The sequence below is a fragment of the Homo sapiens genome, chromosome 4, assembly GCF_000001405.40.
Source record: "Homo sapiens chromosome 4, GRCh38.p14 Primary Assembly".
Taxonomy (NCBI): Eukaryota; Metazoa; Chordata; class Mammalia; order Primates; family Hominidae; genus Homo; species Homo sapiens.
This window is the reverse complement of record NC_000004.12, coordinates 38,740,720-38,761,147: the sequence shown is the minus strand read 5'-3', so window position 1 is coordinate 38,761,147 and position 20,428 is coordinate 38,740,720. Positions and strand designations below refer to the sequence as shown.

General features: G+C 42.5%; 1 long non-coding RNA gene and 1 pseudogene across 2 annotated transcripts, besides 2 other annotated features; one reads left to right on the top strand and one right to left on the bottom strand.

Annotated features, from left to right (window-relative positions):
- Nucleotides 21-170: an enhancer, noted in NCBI's record as "active region_21443". NCBI's record gives its function as "activates an Ori minimal core promoter by ATAC-STARR-seq in GM12878 lymphoblastoid cells {active_cell/tissue: GM12878}" and the evidence as "EXISTENCE:reporter gene assay evidence [ECO:0000049][PMID:35858748]".
- RNA5SP158 (RNA, 5S ribosomal pseudogene 158) lies at nucleotides 2,256-2,357 on the top strand (annotated as a pseudogene).
- Nucleotides 3,671-3,800: an enhancer, noted in NCBI's record as "active region_21442". NCBI's record gives its function as "activates an Ori minimal core promoter by ATAC-STARR-seq in GM12878 lymphoblastoid cells {active_cell/tissue: GM12878}" and the evidence as "EXISTENCE:reporter gene assay evidence [ECO:0000049][PMID:35858748]".
- On the bottom strand, nucleotides 8,097-17,026 carry LOC105374413 (uncharacterized). Of its 2 annotated transcripts, XR_925231.2 has the most exons (6): nucleotides 16,881-17,026; nucleotides 15,687-15,807; nucleotides 12,774-12,848; nucleotides 12,358-12,445; nucleotides 10,409-10,554; nucleotides 8,097-9,716 (listed from the first exon to the last, which is right to left on the bottom strand). It is a non-coding gene; the product is annotated as an uncharacterized LOC105374413 (long non-coding RNA). The 2 variants fall into 2 exon arrangements; XR_925228.3 differs by lacking the exons at nucleotides 12,774-12,848; nucleotides 15,687-15,807; nucleotides 16,881-17,026 and having other exon boundaries at nucleotides 8,097-8,170; nucleotides 8,626-9,716; nucleotides 12,358-12,396.
- Between the last annotated feature and the right edge of the window lie 3,402 nt (nucleotides 17,027-20,428).

Sequence of the window (20,428 nt, the reverse complement as noted above, 5' to 3'; positions counted from 1 at the left end):
CGGGGCACCTGCTACCTTGAATCAGTCGTCTCCGAGGGCAGAACCGCAAATCTCATGGGATTGGAATGGAAAGAGAAAGCTGCCTTGGTTTTCTTTGGTTGTTTCTGATTTTTCTTTTTTCTTGCTCTTCATCACCTCCTAAAGGCACAGAAAGGGGCCATTTTTCTGGTCTTCTTAATTCTCACTCCTGTCCCTAATTAGAAACAACAGCAGAGAATTGCTGAAAGCTATATTCCAGCTAAAACCAGGCTGCAGCGTTCGCATCACCTGAGAGACGTCAGACATGCAGAATTTCAGGCTCCATCCCAGGCCTACTGATTCAGAAGCTGCATTTTAGCAAGATCCTGGCTGGATTTTATGCACAGTAAAGTTTGAGAAAGAAGGCTTTAAAAATGAACTGAGCAATACAATCCTTTTTTTTTTTTTGCACGGGGGGAGGTGTTCAATAGCAGAGTAGGGTGACTCTAGTTAACAACAATGTATTGTATATTTCAAAGTAGCTAGAAGAGAGAACATGAAATGTTCCCAGCACGTAGAAATGATACTCAGGGTAATGGAGACTCCAAATACCCTGACTTGATCATTACACATTTGATGCATATAACAAAATAGCACATGTACTCCATAAATATGTAAACTATCATATATCATTAAAAAAAATAAACTGAAGGCCTTAAAAAGGAATAAAATAATGGCATTTGCAGCAACCTGAATGGAATTGGAGACCATTATTCTAGGTGAAGTGACTCAGGAATGGACAATCAAACATCGCATGTTCTCACTTATAAATGGGAGCTAAGCTATGAGGCCACAAAGGCATAAGAATGATACAATGGACTTTGGGACCTCGGGGGAAAGGGTGGGAGCGGGGGGGTGAGGGATAATAGACTACAAATTGGGTACAGCGTACACTGGTTGGGTTATGAGGGCACCAAAATTTCAGAAACGACCGCTAAAGAACTTATGCGTGTAACCAAACACAATCTGTTCCACCAAAACCTATTGAAATTTTTGAAAAATTATTTTCCTAAAATAAAGGATATTTCAAGGAGTGCCTTCTCCATCTTGTGGCCCTCTGATGATGATAGCTCTGAAAGCTTTGAAAAGCTTGCAAATACCCAACTTCAGGAATAAATCACCTCTGAGACCCTCACCTGAAGACAGGATACTTCCTGCAACTCCAGGACTTTAAAGTCGGAAGAATTGTTTTTTTAAACTGGACTCTGAGGACACACTCTTAAAGTCACTCAAATTCTCTACAAAATTCTTAAGTTTTGTGTTTCTATTTCTAAAGATAATAAAAATAATTGATATGATCAAAAAACAAAAATTAACAAAAAAACACAAAAACCCCCCAAAATGAACTGAGGTTGTGTGCCCTTGTGTGAAATTTTGGGTTGCAGTGCCACCTTGAGGTCACTTTAGTATTTTTCGCTGAGCTTTGCAGTGGACGAGCTGCGTGGGACACAACAGAAGTCAGTTCATTCCTCCCTGGAGGAAACAGACCGCCCTTGTGTTAGTGCCCAGAGGTCTCCGACTGCGGCCTCTCTGGGCCACACTGTCAATTGAAGAGATATGGGCCCTCTTCCAAGGACGCCTTCTATCCAAGCTTAGAAGAATGGCTCATAGGCTAAGGCACTTTCTGCGTCAGCAACAGCAACAGATCTCAAAGAATGTCTGCCCCCATCACAAGATTTTTCATAAAATGTAGAAAGCCATTAAAGCTCAGAGGCACAAAGCATGGCTTTAGAGATCATCTAGATGAGTGAGCCCCACCTTTCAGGAATGAGAATTGCTTTATGATAATGGTTGGCATTTGCTGCATATTTACTGTGTCCCAAGCACTGTTCTAAGCACCTCCATGTACTTAGTCATTTGAACCTTAGAACAATTTAGTGAGATCAAAATAGTGATCTCTATTTTACAGACTCCTGTGTGGCAGTCATTTTGTTTGTACTATTTGTTGGTTAGGAAAATCTACACTAAGAAGAAACTATTGCTATGAATCTAGTAATTCTTGAAAATGAATTTGCATTGAATTAAATCCAATAACAGCCAATAACATCTATATATATTCAGGGAAGAGTAGTATAGAGATATAAATTATGTTATCTACCAAGCCTCAGACCACGGTTGTGGCATAGATAGACTTAGGGCCTCTTGCAACAGCTCCAAAGCTCTCCACGGTATTCTTAGCCCACAGGCTGGGAACCCCCAGTGTAGAAACACACCCCACGTGCTTTATAGATGGCACACCGTACAATCCTGAACACACCTGATTTCATCTGGTCTCTGATGATTAGTGGGATCAGGCTACCTTGGTCTTGGATGGGAGATTGTGGGGGAAGTTGCAGATGAGGAAACTGACTTCAGAAAGTTGTTATAGTTATTCTTCTAGCTTGAAAAAGCTACACTAGAGAGAAAAAGAGACCATGGGCAGTATCTCCTTTTCATTCTTCAACCTATACACCCTAGGAAGGTTAATTCTCCTAAAACACAGTTCTGTTTGGGTTATTTTCCCCCTCAAAATGACCCCCAGCTCTACCTGACTGCTTATTGTAAGGTAAAGCCATCTTCGTCTCCAAAGCAAAATCGAATACCAACCAACCTGCTTGTTGTTACTCTGTTGATGTCCCTTACCCTCTGTCTAGACTATGTGTTGCCCATAGGACAAGAAGAATGCTGGCCTTAGAGAAGACTTGGAGGGAGAGCTTTGGAGCTGTTGCAAGAGGCCCTAAGTCTATCTATGCCACAATCGTGGTCTGAGGCTTGGTAGATAACATAATTTATATCTCTATACTAGCCTTCCCTGAATATATATAGATGTTATTGGCTGTTATTAGATTTAATTCAATGCAAATTCATTTTCAAGAGTTACTAGACTCATAGCAATAGTTTCTTCTTAGTGTAGATTTTCCTAACCAACAAACAGACTTGGAGGGAGGCCACCTAGTGGCTAAGGTGACCTTCCTTGGGAAGCAGCACCTGAGTTAAGTCACCAGGAGTGCATGTTTAGGTCCTACCCAGACACAGGAAGACAGTGCCGGTGAGCCACAGAGTTGGAGGGCCTTCTCTCAAGACCGAGCGTGAGTTCACTGTGAGAAATATAGCTACTGAGGTGACCAGGTCAGTGCACATGCTGGCAGAGTTCTCTCCTGCAGGCCCTCATGGGACAAAATGGCATCATCAGAAGGCTAGTGGTTGGTATTTACTGCATATTTACTGTGTCCCAAGCACTAAGTACTCCAAGTACTTAGTCATTTGAACCTTAGAACAATTTAGTGAGATCAAAATAGTGATCTCTATTTTGCAGATTCCCGTGTGGCAGTCATTTTGTTTGTAGTATTTTTTGGTTAGGAAAGTCTACCCTAAGAAGATACTATTACTATGAATCTAGTAACTCTTGAAAATGAATTTGCATTGAATTAAGCCAATAACATCCAATAGCGTCTATATATCTTCAGGGAAGGGTAGTATAGGGATATAAATTATGTTATCTACCAAGCCTCAGACCATAGTTGTGGCATAGATAGACTTAGGGTCTCTTGCAACAGCTCCAAAGCTCTCCAAGGTATTCTTAGCCCACAAGCTGGGAACCCTCAGTGTAAAAGTACATTGGTCAGCATGTGTCTTGGCCATTTCTTGTTTCTGGCTCTGCCCAATGTCAATCTCTTCTTCTGAAAAGTACACCACTTCCTTTTTTTTTTTTTTGGCAGTGGGGACGGAGTCTCACTCTGTCACCCAGGCTGGAGTGCAGTGGCATGATCTCGGCTCACTGCAGCCTCTGTCTCACGAGTTCAAATGATTCTCCTGCCTAAGGCTCCCAAGTAGCTGGGATTACAGGCGTGTGCCACCATGTCTGGCTAATTTTTGTATTTTTAGTAGAGATGGGGTTTCACCATGTTGGCCAGGCTGGTCCCAAACTCCTGACCTCAAGTGATCCGCCAGCCTCAACCTTCCAAAGTGCTGGGATTACAGATGTGCGTCACTACACCTGACTAATTTTTGTATTTTTAGTAGAGACGGATTTCACCATGTTGGCCAGGCTGGTCTCGAACTCCTGACCTCAAGTGATCCACCCACCTTGGCCTCCCAAATTGCTAAGATTACAGGCGTGAGCTACCGTGCCCGGCTCATCATTTCCTTCGAGGCCTTCTTTCTTCCCAGGGGATATTGCCTGATAGATAGTGACCCAGATACCTGTACTGTCTAGTTCGTGGGTGGAGGCAGTCCAAGCTAGGACAATTACATACTCTCTTCCTAGTACTTGGATCTTGACCAGAGGATCAAAGGAGCAGAAAATAATTCTATTTCATCCCAGCAGTTGTGCCCTGGCTTTATGAGAGCCTGCTTTTTACACTTGCTGGTGGTCCTGGAATCCATCCCCGAGAAATATCCTGGCTCCTGCCTATTTCGAAGCCTCTACCCTCTTATTGATTTTATGAGCCCCGATGTCCTTTCCTCTCCAAAAAAAAAAAAAAACCTATTTTGAATAAGTTAATGTACTAGTCAGTTATTACTAGGATAGTATTGCAGATAAATCTCAGTAGTTAAGCAACAAAATTGTATTTTTCTAATTCACAGTTCTATTGTTCAACCAGGGTGGCTCTGCCTCAGACTTCAGGTCTGGTTTAAGTCTGTTGTCTATATTTCACATTCAAAGACAGCAGCTACTCAGGGCATGCTCATCTCATGATAAATGGAAGAGGCCAAGGAAAACCACACAAGCACATGTAAAATCTCAGGTTGGGGCTGGGCGCGGTGGCTCACACCTGTAATCCCAGCACGTTGGGAGGCTGAGGTGGGTGGATCGCTTGAAGTCAGGAGTTCAAAACCAGCCTGGCCAACATGATGAAACCCCATCTCTACTAAAAATACAAAAATTAGCCAGGCGTAGTGGTGCATGCCTGTAATCTCAGCTACTCAGGAGGCTGAGGCATGATAATCGCTTGAACCTGGGAGGTGGACATTGAAGTGAGTGGAGATCGCACCACTGCCCTCTAGCCTGCCCAACAGAGTGAGACTGTCTCAAAAAAAAAAAAAAATCGGGTTGGGCATCATGCATGTTGTCCTACATTCTGTTGGCCAAAGCAAGTCACCCAGTGAGACTCAAACTCAATTGTGTGGAGATGCATGCTGCCCACCCTACAGGCAGGTGATGCAAAGTCACTATGTAAAGGCCATAGCTGTGTGGTGATACTGTGCAGAGACAGTACAAAACTGGGACCATAGCCTACCCTGGTGAACCGGAAAATAATAAAACATTAACAAAATTAATGTTAACATAGTGACATTTATCGGTCTTTTCCTTTATGGTTTGTGTTTTCCCATCTTGTTTAAGAAATGCTTCTCTGACCCAGGGTCACCAGGAAGATATTCAGCTCTGTTTTGTTTTTCACACTGAAATCTTTAGTCCAGGGTATGACTGAAGCTAGGATCTAATTTTGAGTTTTTGCTAATGGCTGATTAATTGCCCCAGTATTATTATTTTTGAATAATTCACCCTATTTCCACTGACCTGTAATATCACTTTTGCCAACTATCAAGTTTCTATAAATGCAGGAAAGTCTTCCTGGACATGCTATTTCCATTTCATTGTTTTGTTTGTCAGTCTCTGTGCTGATCCCATGCTTCTCAAATATTTACTATTTAGCCTTCATTTAAAATCAAACTTGTCAAATTCCACAACGTACACTAAAAATACCGATCGATATTTTGTTTTGAACTACTTTGAATTAAAGAGTAATATGAGAGGAAGAAAAGTGTTCAAGGTTATAAATTTTTCATAAAGAACATAGTTCTCCATTTATTTCAGTCTCTTTAATTACATTTGATAAAATTTTATAATTTTCTTTTTAAAGATCATGCACCTCATTTGTTAGATTTATTCCTAGGTACCTTATTTTTATGCTATTACAAGTTATATAAAAGTGATCTTTTACAAATTATATATTTTCGCTATTTGTTGCAGTGTTTAGAATACTACCAATTTTTGCATATTGATCTCAAAGCCATAGCAGAATATCATACTACCTTATCATAATAGCAGACATTCATATAACTTACTATGTGTCAGGCACTGTTCTAGGCATTTTACATGGATGACATGCATTCAATCTCACAATGACCCAGTGAGGGAGATCTTATTATTATAATTATTTATAGTGAGGAAACTGAAGTCCAAAGAAGTGCAGAGAACTTAAGTAGATTCCATCATAAGTGGTGAAGCCAGGATTCAAACTCATTCTCCAGCATCCAGGGCTATACTCGTGGTACTGCATTTACTTCTTACTCTTGGTAAGCCCTGTTATTAATTCCGATAATATGCCTGTCTATTCTCAGGTTTTCCATGCAAACAACGATAATAAATACCTTAAAATCAGCTAGCAAACACACAAATGGTTAATGCCATAGTAAAGTGTGTAGGATGTGTGTGTGTGTGTGTGCAGAGTGTGTATGTATGGGGTGTGTATGTGTGAGGTATGTGGAGTGTGTGTGTGTGTAGAGAGTGTGTGGAGGGTGTATGTATGGGGTGTGGGAGGGTGTATGCATGTATTGTGTGTATGTGTGTGTGATTTGTATGTGTGAATGTGTTTTTGTGTGTAGTGTGTGTGTGGATGTTGTTTGGGAGTGTGTGTGTGGATGTGAATGTTTAGGTTCTGTGTGTGTGTGTTTGCGGAGTGTGTGGAGTGTGTAACATGGTGTGTGTATATGTTTGGGGTGTGTGTGTAGATATGTGTGTGTGAGTGTGTGTGTTATGGAGTGTGTGTATATGTATGTTTGGGTGTGTGTGGGGTGTGTGTATAGTGTGTGGGAGGTGTGAGTGCATATTGAGTGTGTGTATATGTGTATGTTTCGGGAGGTTTGTGTGTGGAGTGTGTGTGTAGAGTGTGTGTGTATGGGGTGTGTGTGTGTGGAGTGTGTGTGTATGAAGCGTGTGTGGGGAGTGTGTGTGTAGAATGTGTGTGTGGAGTATGTATGTTTGGGGTGTGTGTAGTGTGTGTGCATGTATGTGTATGGGTGTGTGTGTATATTTATATTTGGGAGTCTGTGTCTGTGGAGTGCATGTGTGTAGAGTATGTGTATAGGTGTGTGTGGAGTGTGTGTATGTTTGGGGGTGTGTGTAGGTGTGTGGAGAGTGTGTTTTGGGGTATGTGTATAAAGTGTGTGTATAGTGTGTGTATAGAGCGTGGTTGTTCCGTGGTATAGAATGTGTGTGAGTATGTATGTTTGGCTCGTGTGTGTAGTGTGCGTGCGGGTGTGTCTATGTTTGTGTGTGTGTAGAGTGTGGTTGTTTGCGATGTGTGTGGTGTGTGTGTAGAGTATGTATGTTTTGGGTTTGTGTATGTGGAGTGTATGTGTGGATTGTGTGCCTGTGTGTATGGGGTGTGTGTGGCGTGTGTGTAGAGTGTATGTTGGGATGTGTGTGTGGAGCGTGTGTGTGCACGTGTGTGTATGTTTGTGTGTGTGTGTAGTATGTGTGTAGTTTGTGTGTGTGTATTTTTGGATGTGTGTGTATGGGTGTGTGTGTAATGTGTGTGTAGTTTGCGCATGTGTGTGTTTATTTGGGTGTGTGTGTGTGGAGTGTGTGTGCATGTTTGGGTGTGTGTCTATTGTGTGCATGTGTATGTATATTGGGGTGTGTGTGTGTGGAGTGTGTGTGTACGTGTATGTTTGGGTGTGTGTGGAGTGTGTGTGCGCGTGTGTGTGTATGTTTGGGGTATGTGTGTGTAGCGTGTCTGTGTGTGTGTTTGGATGGGGAACGTTATAAAGAGCACCATTCTCAAAGCGCAGGGAATTCGCGAGCCCTGGGGATCGCTGGTCTACTTCCTAAGCAGCAAGGAATGTTATGCATTTCAGCGCTTGCTAAGTCAGTGCGTCCTCAGAGAGGGCTTGCAGGCTCCAGGGAGGCCTGCATAAGGAGTGAGGCCTGGGCCAAGCCCAACAGAAAGTGTCAAATAACAGGCCTGCCCCTTCCCCACCCTCCACCCCCAGATTTGGGCTGAATCAAAGGGCCATTCAAGCCCCTCCCTTTCACAGGCCGAGGCCATCAGCGGGCCATCCCCTGAGGCTGAAACGCAGCAATCCCACGGGCTTCTGCTCCAAACAGGCTTGTATTTGAAACCACAATATACTTGGCTCTAGTTTTACACACATTACTTTCCTGGTGCTAAAAAAAAAAAAAAAAAAAAAGGAATTACAAGAATGAAAGGGAGAGTTCTTGGGAGATAGGGAATTCTTTTTCCAGTCTAGTGAATGCGGTTAATAAGTGGAAAAATAAAACTACTCTCCGTGAAGGGTCTTTGGAAGGGTTACCAGGACACGACAATTAAAAACAAATTAAAAGGCTGTATCATTCACTCAGCCTCAGTCGCCTCCCACAGTCCTGAGGGAAATGAATCTGCTTCAGTGCATTGGAGGGGTAACCGCTCTTCCTGAATGGTGTCGGGTAGGAGGAGGGATACCTGTGTATGTTCCTCTGTGGCGTCCCAAATGCTCCTTCATGAATTGAGGAATTGACTGGACAGTCATTCCCCTAGACCTCACTACAAATTAGACTTTTGTTCACCTGTTTCAAACGAATGTTTTTTAGTGCTTTGCATAGTGTGAAAAACAATAACAAACCCCAGGGTTTGGGTCATCTTGGATGAGTCACTTGAATCTCTGTGGCTCTCAGTTTCCTCTCTGTAAAATGAAAGTGTAAACTAGATCAGTGGTTTTCAAACAGTACTCTCCTGAGTCCTCCCTGAAGCTAGAACAACTAGGAGGAAGAGAAATGGAAGAATTAACTGAGCAATTTAGCCCGTTTGCGTCTGTCGTCTTTGACTTCAGACCATTTTCAATACAATCTGGTTGAGCAGTTAATTCTAACAAACCTGGTTCTGGGATTTGCTAATCTCTCAACAATTCCAGGTGACTCCCAAAGCAGGAGCCACAGTCTCTGCACGGGCTTGACCCATATTGTCATGTTTTGGAAGGTGTGGAAGATTCCTGCCAACATCATAGCATCATGTTATTCTCAAGGAGACTAAGGAAGACTTAAAACAACCCATGTGGGTGCAGAAGGTGGCCCCGTGGCCTGTGTTGAAGTGGGATCTCACAGATCCACATTGTATTTTCACAAATACATGTGAGATTTTCCACGAGATTCTGCAAGAATTTCCCTGTGAGTCCTTTCTTGAGTTCCAAAGTTGGGTAATGATGAAACAGAAGAGTTCCCTGACCCCTCTCACAGGACGTGAAACAAGGGTGTGGCTTGTCTGTTAGATTGCTGACACCACTCAAACCCCTTACAGGATGGAAAGCATGCAGATGGGCAGGTGCAGGAGTCCAAGTGGGCACGTGTTACAATGTGCTCTTTTAGCCGTCTGCGAATGGCTTGAGTGTTAGCGAGCAAGGGCAGAGGGCCAGTGTGACAGCTTTATGTATCCCAAGCTCTTGTCCAGCATCCTGGAAGAACTGGGTCACACATGCACTTGAAGGATAAATGTGGGGGTCTTACTGAATGGCGGAGGTGGCTCTCAGCAGGATGGATGGAGAACCTGAAGGGAGGACGGAGTAGGAAGATGGGCTTCTCCTGGAGTTTGGCCTTCCGGCAGCTGAACCGCCCCGGGCTAAACTCTTAGTGTTGAGACATTCCTCCTCTTCTCTCTTTCTGCCGCAGCATTTTGACATTCCTCTGCTTGTCTCCTTGTCTGCCCATCTGCTTCTGGAACCTGGGGGTTTGGGGTTTATATGGGTACAGGATAGGGGGGCATGGCGGGCCAAAAGGCAAATTTTGCATTCAAAAACAGAAATGCCTGTTTCCATTTAGGGCCGAGGGTCTCTGGACTTCAGGGTGGGGCCTTTGCCAGGGAACCACCCTCTTCTACCCAGTATTTCCCTGTCTCCTATCCATATCAATGAGGCTTTTCCTGTTTTCTAAAATGCTTCAGTTATTCACTAGTCTAGAAGTTAAAATCATTAGAGTTGTTGCTTGTTAACCTACTCTATGGATCCTCTCTCTTGTCTTGAGATCAGAAACCATGGCTTTTCACTATGAATCCCCAGACCTGGCAAAGTCCTTGCCCTACAGAGGTGACTGTTTTCCAAAAATAGAAACAGCAGTATTTCCAGTTTCACATGTTTTTCCACAAACTTTCCATTTCCCATCATGAGGCAGAATCTATTCGTCTTCTCCAGAGACTCAGGATTGGGGAAGGGCTGACTCCGTGACTGTCTTGATAATTGGAATGCTACAGATTGCTTGACTTCCAAGGCTATGTTATAAAAAGCAATTAGGCTTCTGCCTGCAGCTCTCTCCCTAGGGATGTTCACCCTTGAAACCAGCCACTGGGTTATGAGGAAGCCTCAACTAGCTCATGTGGAGGGTGAAAGATGCCCCCAGCCAACAGCCAGCTTCACCCACCAGGATAGATGAGTGAATTAATGAGCCTTCAGTTGATCCCATCCTCCAGTTCTCAAGTCTTCCAGCTGAATCCTCAGACATTGCAGAGCAGAGACGGGGTATCCTTGGTGTGCCATGGCCAAGTCTTAACCCACACAGTTGAGTCTCTGAGCATAATAAATGGAGTACACCACTAAGCATTGGGGTTATTTGAATCCATAATAACTGCAACAATGGTGGATGACAGACACTGAATGCATTAATGAACGATTGGCCATGGGCTCTCTCAAATTCCTGAACCCACCTCGGGAGTAGAAAAGATAAGAGGTATCCTAGCATATCAGTGGAAGGGTACTGTGTTTTTCTAAAGTTTTAAGGCATAAATATTTATATTTATAAATATCCAATACTACAGTAGAAATGATTCTTTTAAAAGTCAGCGTCCTATTAAGCCGTGAAAAGACATGGAGGAAACTTAAATGCATATTACTGAGTGAAAGAAGCCAATCTGAAAAGGCTGCACACTGTGTGATTCCAACTATATGACATTCTGAAAAAAGCAAAACTATGGAGGCAGCGAAAATGTCAGTGGTTGCCAGGTGCTAGCTAGGGAGGACAGGAAGAGTTGGCGCACAGGGGATTTTTAGGGCAGTGAAACTATTCTATACGACACTGTAATAGTGAATACATGTTGTCATACACTTGTTAAAACCTGTAATATTTGGGTGACGATGATGTGTCAATGTAGATTCATCAACTGCAACACATGTCCCACTCTGGTGGGTGATGTTGACAGTGGGACAGGCTGTGCGTGTGGCGGGTGGGGACAGGGGAAATATGGAAACTCTCTGTACTTTCTCATCAATTTTTTTTCTACTCAATTTTGCTGTGAACCTAAAACTGCTTTAAAAAATAAAGTCCATTTTTAAGAGGGGTCATTTCAATATGGTCTTATTTGTCTAAGGACCTGGTGCTCTTCTTTTTCTCTCCTCCACCTTCTCACAAATAAACAGATTGTGCAGTCATTGGCAGAATTTTTGGTATTTGTATCACTGCATTGGAGCTTGAGGGTAAAGTTTCATTATGTACACCAGGAGTTAATTTACCTCGGGACTTATTCTTTCTTTCTTTTCTTTCTTACATGGAGTGTGTGTTATCTGGGAGCTAATTTATTTCTAACATAATTTAAGGAGTCGTCTGTTTTCGCCTTGAGTGACAGTGGAAAAACTGTCAGCCTGAAATGTGAATGGTTTAGGACGAGATGAAAACAAGGACTCCAGGGTAGTTTGAATAATGAGCTAAGCATTCATTATTCTTGGTTTTTCTCTCTCCAGCATTAATAAGCAAGTGTTTTCCAAAAAGTATCAGTGGAATTATCATTCTTAAAACTGACCAAAGTAAATGTTATGTTTAATTTTGTGTTTTAATTAAAACTAGATGTTATAATATTATTATATCTATTTGTTTATTTGATTTCTTCTCAGAAAATATAGCAAATGACCACATAGTTCTCAGCGGGTGTTTGAATGAAAGGTGATTGTTCAGGGCTTTCATGGTTTTTAAAGCATTTGTAAGGATGATTCTTCATGTTTTTGATTTAGGCTGAGTCTTTAATCTGATTTATGTGCACACACTTGCTAAACATCTTGGAGGAAGAGTGGTGCTCAAGTTGTGCCACAGAACTCCTCCAGCCTCCATGGGCGGAAATTGATGGCAGTTTGGTTGAACTGGGAACCTGCAGGCCAGGGAAAGTCATCACCAGAAGCCTAGGCTGACTAGAGGAATGTTCAAGGCCTGCTTTCTGTGAGTTTTTCACATAGAAATGATTACAAGAAGCATAGTTTTTTGTTAATTAAAAATGGTTTGTTGTGAATATGTATTTATTGATTGTATTAGTTCGTTCTCACACTGCTATAAGGAACTAACTGAGACTGGGTAATTTATGAAGAAAAGAGGTTTAATTGACTCACAGTTCCACAAGCTGTGCAGGATGCATGGTTGGGGAGGCCTCAGGAAACTCACAATCATGGCAGAAGGACAAAGGGGAAGCAAGCATGTCTTCACATGGTGGCAGGAGAGAGAGAAAGAGAGAAAGAGAGAGAGAAGGGGAAAGTGTCATACACTTTTAAGCAACCAGATCTTGTGAGAATTCTATCATAAGACAGCACTAGGGGAATGATGCTAAACCACTAGAAATCACCCCATGATCCAATCACTTCCCACCACGCCCCACCTCCAACACTAGGGATTACAACTCAACGTGAGATTTGGGTGGGGACACAAAGCCAAACCAAATCGTTCTACCACTGCCCCTTCCCAAATCTCATGTCCTTCTCACATTTTAAAACACAATCATGCCTTCCCAATGGTCCCCCAAAGTCTTAACTCATTCCAGCATTAACTCAAAAGTCCAAGTCCAAAGTCTCATCTGACACAAGGCACGTCACTTCTGCCTATCAGCCTGTAAAATAAAAAACAAGTCAGTTACTTCCAAGGTACAATGAGGGTACAAACATTTAGTAAATGCTCCCTTTCCAAAAGGGAGAAATTGGGCAAAACAAAGGGGCTACGGGCCCCATGCAAGTCTGAACCTAGCGGACAGTCATTAAATCTTAAAGCCCCAAAATAGTTACCTTTGATTCCATGTCTCGCATCCAGGGCATGCTGATGCAAGAGGTAGGCTCTCAAGGCCTTGGGCAGCTCTGCCTCTGTGGCTCTGAAGGGTACTGCCCCTGTGGCTGCTTTCATGGGTTGGCATTGAGTGCCTGAAGTTTTTCTGGGCACACAGTGCAAGCTGTTGGTGGATTTACCATTCTGGAGTCTGAAGGATGGTGGCCCTCTTCTCACAGCTCCACAAGGCAGTGCTCCAGTGGAGACTCTGTGTGGGGGCTCCAATTCCACATTTTCCCTCCACATTGCCCTAGTGGAGATTCCCCATGAGGGCTCCACCCCTGCAGAAGACTTCTGCCTGGAAATCCAGGCATTTTCATACATCCTCTGAAATCTAGGTGGAGGTTCCCAAGCCTCAACTGTTGCACTCTGCACACCCACAGGCTTAACATCATGTGGAAGGTGCCAAAGCTTCTTATGGCTTTCACCCTCTGAAGCAGAGGCCTGAAGCATATCTGAGGCCCTTTATGCCAAGGGTGGAGCTGGAGCAGCTGTGATGCAGGGTGCCATGTCCTGGGGCTGCACAGAACAGAGTGGGGGGCCCTAGGCCTGGCCCACGAAACCATTTTTCCCTCTTAGTCCTCCAGCCCTCTGTCTCTAAAATACCTTGGAGGCATTTTTATATTGTCTTGGCTATTAACATTTGGCTTATCTTTACTGCAGCAGGTTTGAATTCCTCCTCAGAAAATGGGTTTTTCTTTTTTACTATATGGCCAGGCTGCAAATTTTCCAAAGTTTTATGCTCTGCTGCTGCTTAGGAATTTCTTCTGCCAGATACCCTAAATCCTCTTTCTCAAGTTCAAAATTCAACAGATTCCCTAGAGCAGGGGCACAATGCCACCAGTCTTTTTGCTAAAGCATAGCAGAATGACATTTACTGCAGTTCTCAGTAAGTTCCTCATCTCTAAGTGAGACCTCATGAACCTGGCCATCTCTGTCCATATCACTATCAGCATTTTGGTCAAAACCATTCAACAAGTCTCTAGGAAGTTTCAAACTTTCCCTCATCTTCCTGACTTTTTCCAAAGCCCTCGAAACTCTTCCAGTCTCTGCCCATTACCCAGTTCCAAAGTCACTTCTACATTTTCAGTTATCTTTATGGGAATGCCCCATTTATCTGAAACCAATTTTCTGTATTAGTCTGTTCTCACACTGCTATAAAGAACTACCTGAGACTGGGTAATTTATGAAAAGAAGAGGTTTAATTGACTCACAGTTCCACAGGCTGTAGAGGAGGCATTGCTGGGGAGGCTTAGGAAGCTTACAATCATGGCAGAAGGGCTAAGGTGAAGCAAGCACATCTTCACATGGTGGCAGGAGAGAGAAAGAGAGAGAGAGAAGGGGAAGGTGCCACACACTTTTAGACAACCAGATCTTGAGAGAACTCCATCGTGAGAAACCACTAGGGAGATGGTGCTAAGCCATTAGAGACCAATTCCCCCATAATCCAGTCACCTCCTACCAGGCCCCACCTCCAACACTAGGGATTACAATTCAACATGAGATTTGGGTGGGGCCAAAGAGCCAAACCATTATCACTGATTGATTAATAAATTATTGAATTGATGTCTTTTAATTGATTCTTTAGTTTTATCAAAGTTTTATATGTACAAAGTTTAACAAGTCAAATGGTTTCAGGCCAAGCATAGTGGCTCAGCCTGTAATCCCAGCACTTTGGGAGGCCAAGGCAGGTGGATCATCTGAGTCAGGAGTTTGAGACTAGCCTGGACAACATAGTGAAACCCTGTCTCTACTAAAAGTACAAAAATTAGCCAGATGTGGTGGCGTGCGCCTGTAGTCCCAGCTACTTGGGAAGCTGAGGCAAGAGAACGGCTTGAACCTGATAGGCAGGGTTGCAGTGAGCCGAGACATGCCACTGCACTCTGGCCTGGGCAGCAGAGTGAGACTTTGTCTCAAAACAAAACAAAACAAAACAAAAAAATGGTTTCATAAGGTTTCGTCTTTTTTTTTTTTTTTAGACAGTCTCACTGCGTAACTCAGGCTGGAGTGCAGTGGTATGATCATGGTTCACTGCAGCCTGTATTGCCCAGGCTCAAGTGATCCTCCCACTTCAGTCTCCCAAGTAGCTAGGACTATAGGTATACACCGCCATGCTGGCTAATTTTTGTATTTTTTGTAGAGATGAGGTCATTATATTGCCCAGGCTACTCTTGAGCTCTTAGGCTCAAGCATTCCATTCACTTCAGCCTCCCAAAGTGCTGGGATTGCAGATGAAAGCCTCTGCGCCTAACCAAGGTTTCTATTGAAAACCAGCAGACCTCTACATGCCCTTTTCCATCCAATTTCCTCTCCATGGAGGCAATTACTTTTGTTTCTTATAGCTGTTGCTTCTGGAGTTTGCCCCCATATTTCTAAATTATATGCTTATATCACTATTTTTCATATTCTCATCCATTAAATGGGTTTTTAAACTTCATAAGGTTAGTGTGAGCATTAAAAGGAATTAATTCAGTCTGGGTGCGGTGGCTCATGCCTGTAATCCCAGCACTTTGGGAGGCCGAGGCGGGTGGATCACCTGAGGTCAGGAGTTTGAGACCAGCCTGGCCAACATGGTGAATCCCTGTCTCTACTAAAAATACAAAAATTAACTGGGCATGGTGGTGCATACCTGTAATCTCAGCTACTCAGGAGGCTGAGGCAGAGAATTGCTTGAACCTGGGAGGCAGAAGTTGCAGCGAGCTGAGATTGGACCACTTCACTCCAGCCTGGGTGACAGAGCGAGACTGTGCCTCAAATAAATAAATAAATAAATAAATAAATAAATAAATAAAACAAAAGGAATTAATGCATTAAAAATAAGCACTTTTAACAGTGCCTGGCACTACTGTTGTTATATTGACTTTTCAGTTTTTGTTATTATCTCTTGTCTTTTTATTATAAAATAATTATGATTCAGTTTTGTTACACCATTTACACATCTTTCCCTGAACACCTCCTCCTGTCATCTGACAATATATCTCTATCATAAATTAAGATTAATATTTAGTGTTTACATAACTATGATTTTAAAAATATCTATAGCTGAGCCACATAAAACATTATTATATTTTCTTTCTTTTTCAATTATTTGTTTTCACTGGAGGTTATCATCTCATTTTTTTCTTTTTTGCTTAGTTTTCTATGTACGACAATCCCCCTTATCCATGGTTTCACTTTCTGTGGCTTCAGTTACTACATATTCAACCCCAAAAATATTAAGTGGAAAATTTAAGAAATAAAAAGTTTAGGCCGGGCGTGGTGGCTCACGCACCCTTGAGATCCCAACACTTTGGGAAGCTGAGGCGGGTGGATCCCTTGAGGTCAGGAGTTCGAGACCAGCCTGATCAACTTGGTGAAACCCCGTTTCAACTAAAAATACAAAAATTAGCCAGGCGTGGTGGCGCATCCCTATAGTCCCAGGAGGCTGAGACAGGAGAATAGCTCGAACCTAGGAGGCAGAGGTTGCAGTGAGTCAAGATCACGCCACTGCACTCCAACCTGGGCGACAGAGCAAGACTCTGTCTCAAAAAAAAAAAAAAAAAAAAAAAGAATTATCCACAAGGTCTGTGCTCCCTGCCCATTGGTTGCTTAGTAGCCATCTTGGTTATCAGATCAACTGTTGCAGTTATCGCTGTGCTTGTGTTCAAGTAACGCTTATTTTACTTAATAATGGCCCCAAGAGTACTGTGCCTAATTAAATTTTATCACAGGTCTGTACATATAGGAAGAAACATAGTATATGTAGGGTTCAGACTATCTGTGGCTTCAGGCATCCACTGGGGGTCTTGGAACATATCCCCACGGATAGGAGGAGACTCCTTACCTCTACTGAAATCATCCCAAACCCTGCTTCAGAAATGGAAATCTCCTCTCCATATGTTCTGCCAGCGTAAACCCTTTTTTGGAAGATATCCTTCCTGGAGCTCTCTCTCCCCTTGCTGCAGTCTGGACTGGCTGCTCTCAAAATCTGCCACCCAGCTGTCACCCTGGGATTTCCTTTTCTTAACCTCAAAATTCCTTTCAGTTCTCCTCTGTATTGGATCCTCTTTTTTTTTTTTGGTCCCATGACATCCTGTTTCTCATTTTACACTTTCATTTTGGGTGAACACATCCTCCTGCAGCTTCCAGATCATGAATATCTATACAATTCTTTCAACCTCATACATGATTGATATTGGACTAGGTTTAGAATTCTAAATTGAAGATATTTTTTCCTTAGAAATTTAAAGATGTTGCTCTCCTAGCTTCCAGTGCAGCTATTGGGAAGTCTGATATTTTACCTGTTTAATGAGGCATACTATTTCCTTTCTGAATGTATTTAGAATCTTCTTTTTGTCCTTGGAATTCCAGCGTTTTATAATGATGTGTCTTGGTATGGGACTTTCTAAACCCCTTATGTAGGAGACCCTGTGATGCCTCTCAATATGAAAACTCATGTCCTTCAGCTCTGAAGAATTTCCTTTTTTTTTTTTTGGACACAGAGCCTTGCTCTGTCACCCAGGCTGGAGTGCAGTGGTGCGATCTCAGCTCACTGCAACCTCCGCCTCTTGGGTTCAAGTGATTCTCCTGTCTCGGCCTTCTGAGTAGCTAGAATTATAGGCATGCCACATCATGCCCAGCTGATTTTTGCATTTTTAGTAGAGGCGGGGTTTCACCATGTTGGCAAGGCTGGTCTCAAACTCCTGACTTCAGGTGATCTACCCGCCTTGGCCTCCCAAAGTGTGGGATTACAGGCATGAGCCACCATGCCTGGCCTGAAGAATTTTCTTGAATTATTTTTTGAATAGTTGCAACCCTTCTATTTTCTCTGTTCTCTCTTTCTGGAACTCCCATTTTATTTGAATATTATAGTTCTTCATCAGGTCTTTAATTTTTTCCTATATTTTCCATCTCCGAAATATTTTTTTACCTTCTCAAACTCTGAAAGAGTTTGTGTAAAATTGGTGTTATTTCTTATGGGTTTTGTGTGTGTGTGTGTGTGTGTGTGTGTATTTTCCATCTCTGAAATTTTTTTTTACTTTCCCAAACTTTATCTTCTGACATTTCTACTTCATGTAACTTTCTAATTTCCTTCATTTTTTTCCTCTGGACACATCAATTATAGCTTTTTGAAATTTTCTTCTGCTTTTTAAAAATTATTTCTGCTTCTACTGAGCTCTTATAAAAATCTTATTTGTTTTTATCTCAGTTTTTCTATTAGAAAATTTCTCAGATGTTTGGTCTTCCTTGACTCTTTTCTCATATTTAAAAGTGAAGCACTAAAAAGCTGATTGTAAGTTGTGTAGTGTGTGTGTACATGCATGTGTATATGTGTGTGCATATGTGTGTATGTGTGTGCATGCACATACATGGTGGTGTTGAGAGCTGGAGGGAGCTCGCCAATGGATGAACTTTTCTGTACAGTGATCTTGCTGGGCTGTTTCATTGGGAAAGTCCCATTTTGTAGTTTCTTTTGGTCTTTTCTCTTAATCTAGACAGTTTCCTCAAATCTTTTTGATTTGAGAATTATAAACCTGACTGCCATCATTCTGAGACTGGAGTGGAGGGAAAGGGATGAGCCCCACAGGGTGTAGAACTCCAGCTGATCCCCAGTTTTCTATATGGTGCCCTGCCGTGATGTCACTGAGGCTGGAGTCTCTCTGGCTAACCCTCTTTGGAGGGTCAATTCTGGACTTCTGAGATGGGAGATAGCGGTTGGCAGATCTGGAGGCATCTGTGCATCTCTGTTTGTACAGGCTTGTAACCAGTCTTCTGTTCTCAGCCTCAATTGCACCCTGGGCCACCAACTCCTGAGCCACAACTTTCTGAGGTTCTGTGTCTCAAATCATCCCGCTTCAGGCTGCCCCCAATTGGTTCTAGCTTCCTTTGGTCAGCTAAGCTGGTAATCACTTGTTCCGTATGCTCTCCAGCTTCCAAAATATTTCTTTTTCCTTTCTACTTTCTTTTTCTCTTTGTCCTTGTTAGTTAATATCTTTTTTTTTAAGCCACTCTCCGTTATTTTGGTGGGACTGGTGAAGCTGGGGGCAAAACTGTAAATGATGTTTTTATTCTTTTATTTATTTTGATTTAGTATTATTATTTTATTTTTCATTCGGAGTCTTGCTCTGTTACCCAGGCTGGAGTGCAGTGGTGCCATCTTGGCTCACTGCAGCCTCCACCTACGGGTTCAAGCAATTCTTGTGCTTCAGGCTCCTCAGTAGCTGGGATTACAGGCATGCACCACCATGCCTGGATAATTTTTGTATTTTTAGTGGAGATAGGGTTTCACTGTGTTGTCCAGTCTGGTCTTGAACTCCTGACCTCAAGTGATCTGCCCACCTCAGCCTCCCAAATTGCTGGGATTACAGGTGTGAGCCACTGTGCCCAGCCTGATGTTTTTAATTTACCAAATTTAATGGGTCTTTTTAGTGATGGAATTCAAATAATGTAATGATGAAATATAAACTGAGCTGCATTAATTTAATTCTAATTAGATCCAGGTGACAGAGCGCACGCCTGTAGTCCAGCTACTTAGAAGGCTGAGGCAGGAGGGTTGCTTGAGCCCAGGAATTCAAGGCTGCCATGTGCTTGATCACTGCTGTGAATATCTACTGCACTTCAGCCTGGACAGCATAGCAAGAACCTGTTTCTAAGATAAATAAATAAATCTAGCTGGACACAGTCTTAACTTTACATTTTTCTTGGGATGCAAAATTTGGTTGTTGTTATAGGATTGTATATTCCCATAAGTGTTCTATTTGTGTCAAGTATTTAGAATAAAAAAAAGGAAAGCTAAAAATCAATAAGCCTGAAGGAATTAGAAGACAAACAGAAAATTTTACTTAAAGAAAGTATAATAGAAGGAAGGACATAACAAAGATTTCTTTTAAAAAGCCAAATGAACTAGATGACACTGTACAATTCAGCAAAGTGAAAAGTAAAGCCTTCATGAGGATGATCATGAACAAAACAGAGAAGGCTTACATCACCAATGCTGGAAACGGAAAAGGAAACATCTCACCTTAGATGCTGAGATGGGAGGATTGCTTGAGCCCTGGAGGTCAAGGCTGCAGTGAGCTGTGATTGCACCACTGCACTCCAGCCTGCACAACAGAGTGAGACCCTGTAGTTGAAACCATGATGCTTTTTTTTTTTTCCAGCATAGGTGTTTCTCTAAAGAGCAAGGTCTGCTTCTGGAGACAGACAAACAGTTCTGGGTTCAATATCCATGTTGAAAACTCACCTGAGTCACTTTGGTCAGACACAGCTCTTGGTTCCTTCTATAATCTCAGAATAGATTTGAAACGACTCCCTTCCTCACAATTATGCTTCCAGGTTATAATTCTGCTACATTTATTTATGTAGTTGCTTGTTTATTTAGCAAACATTTAT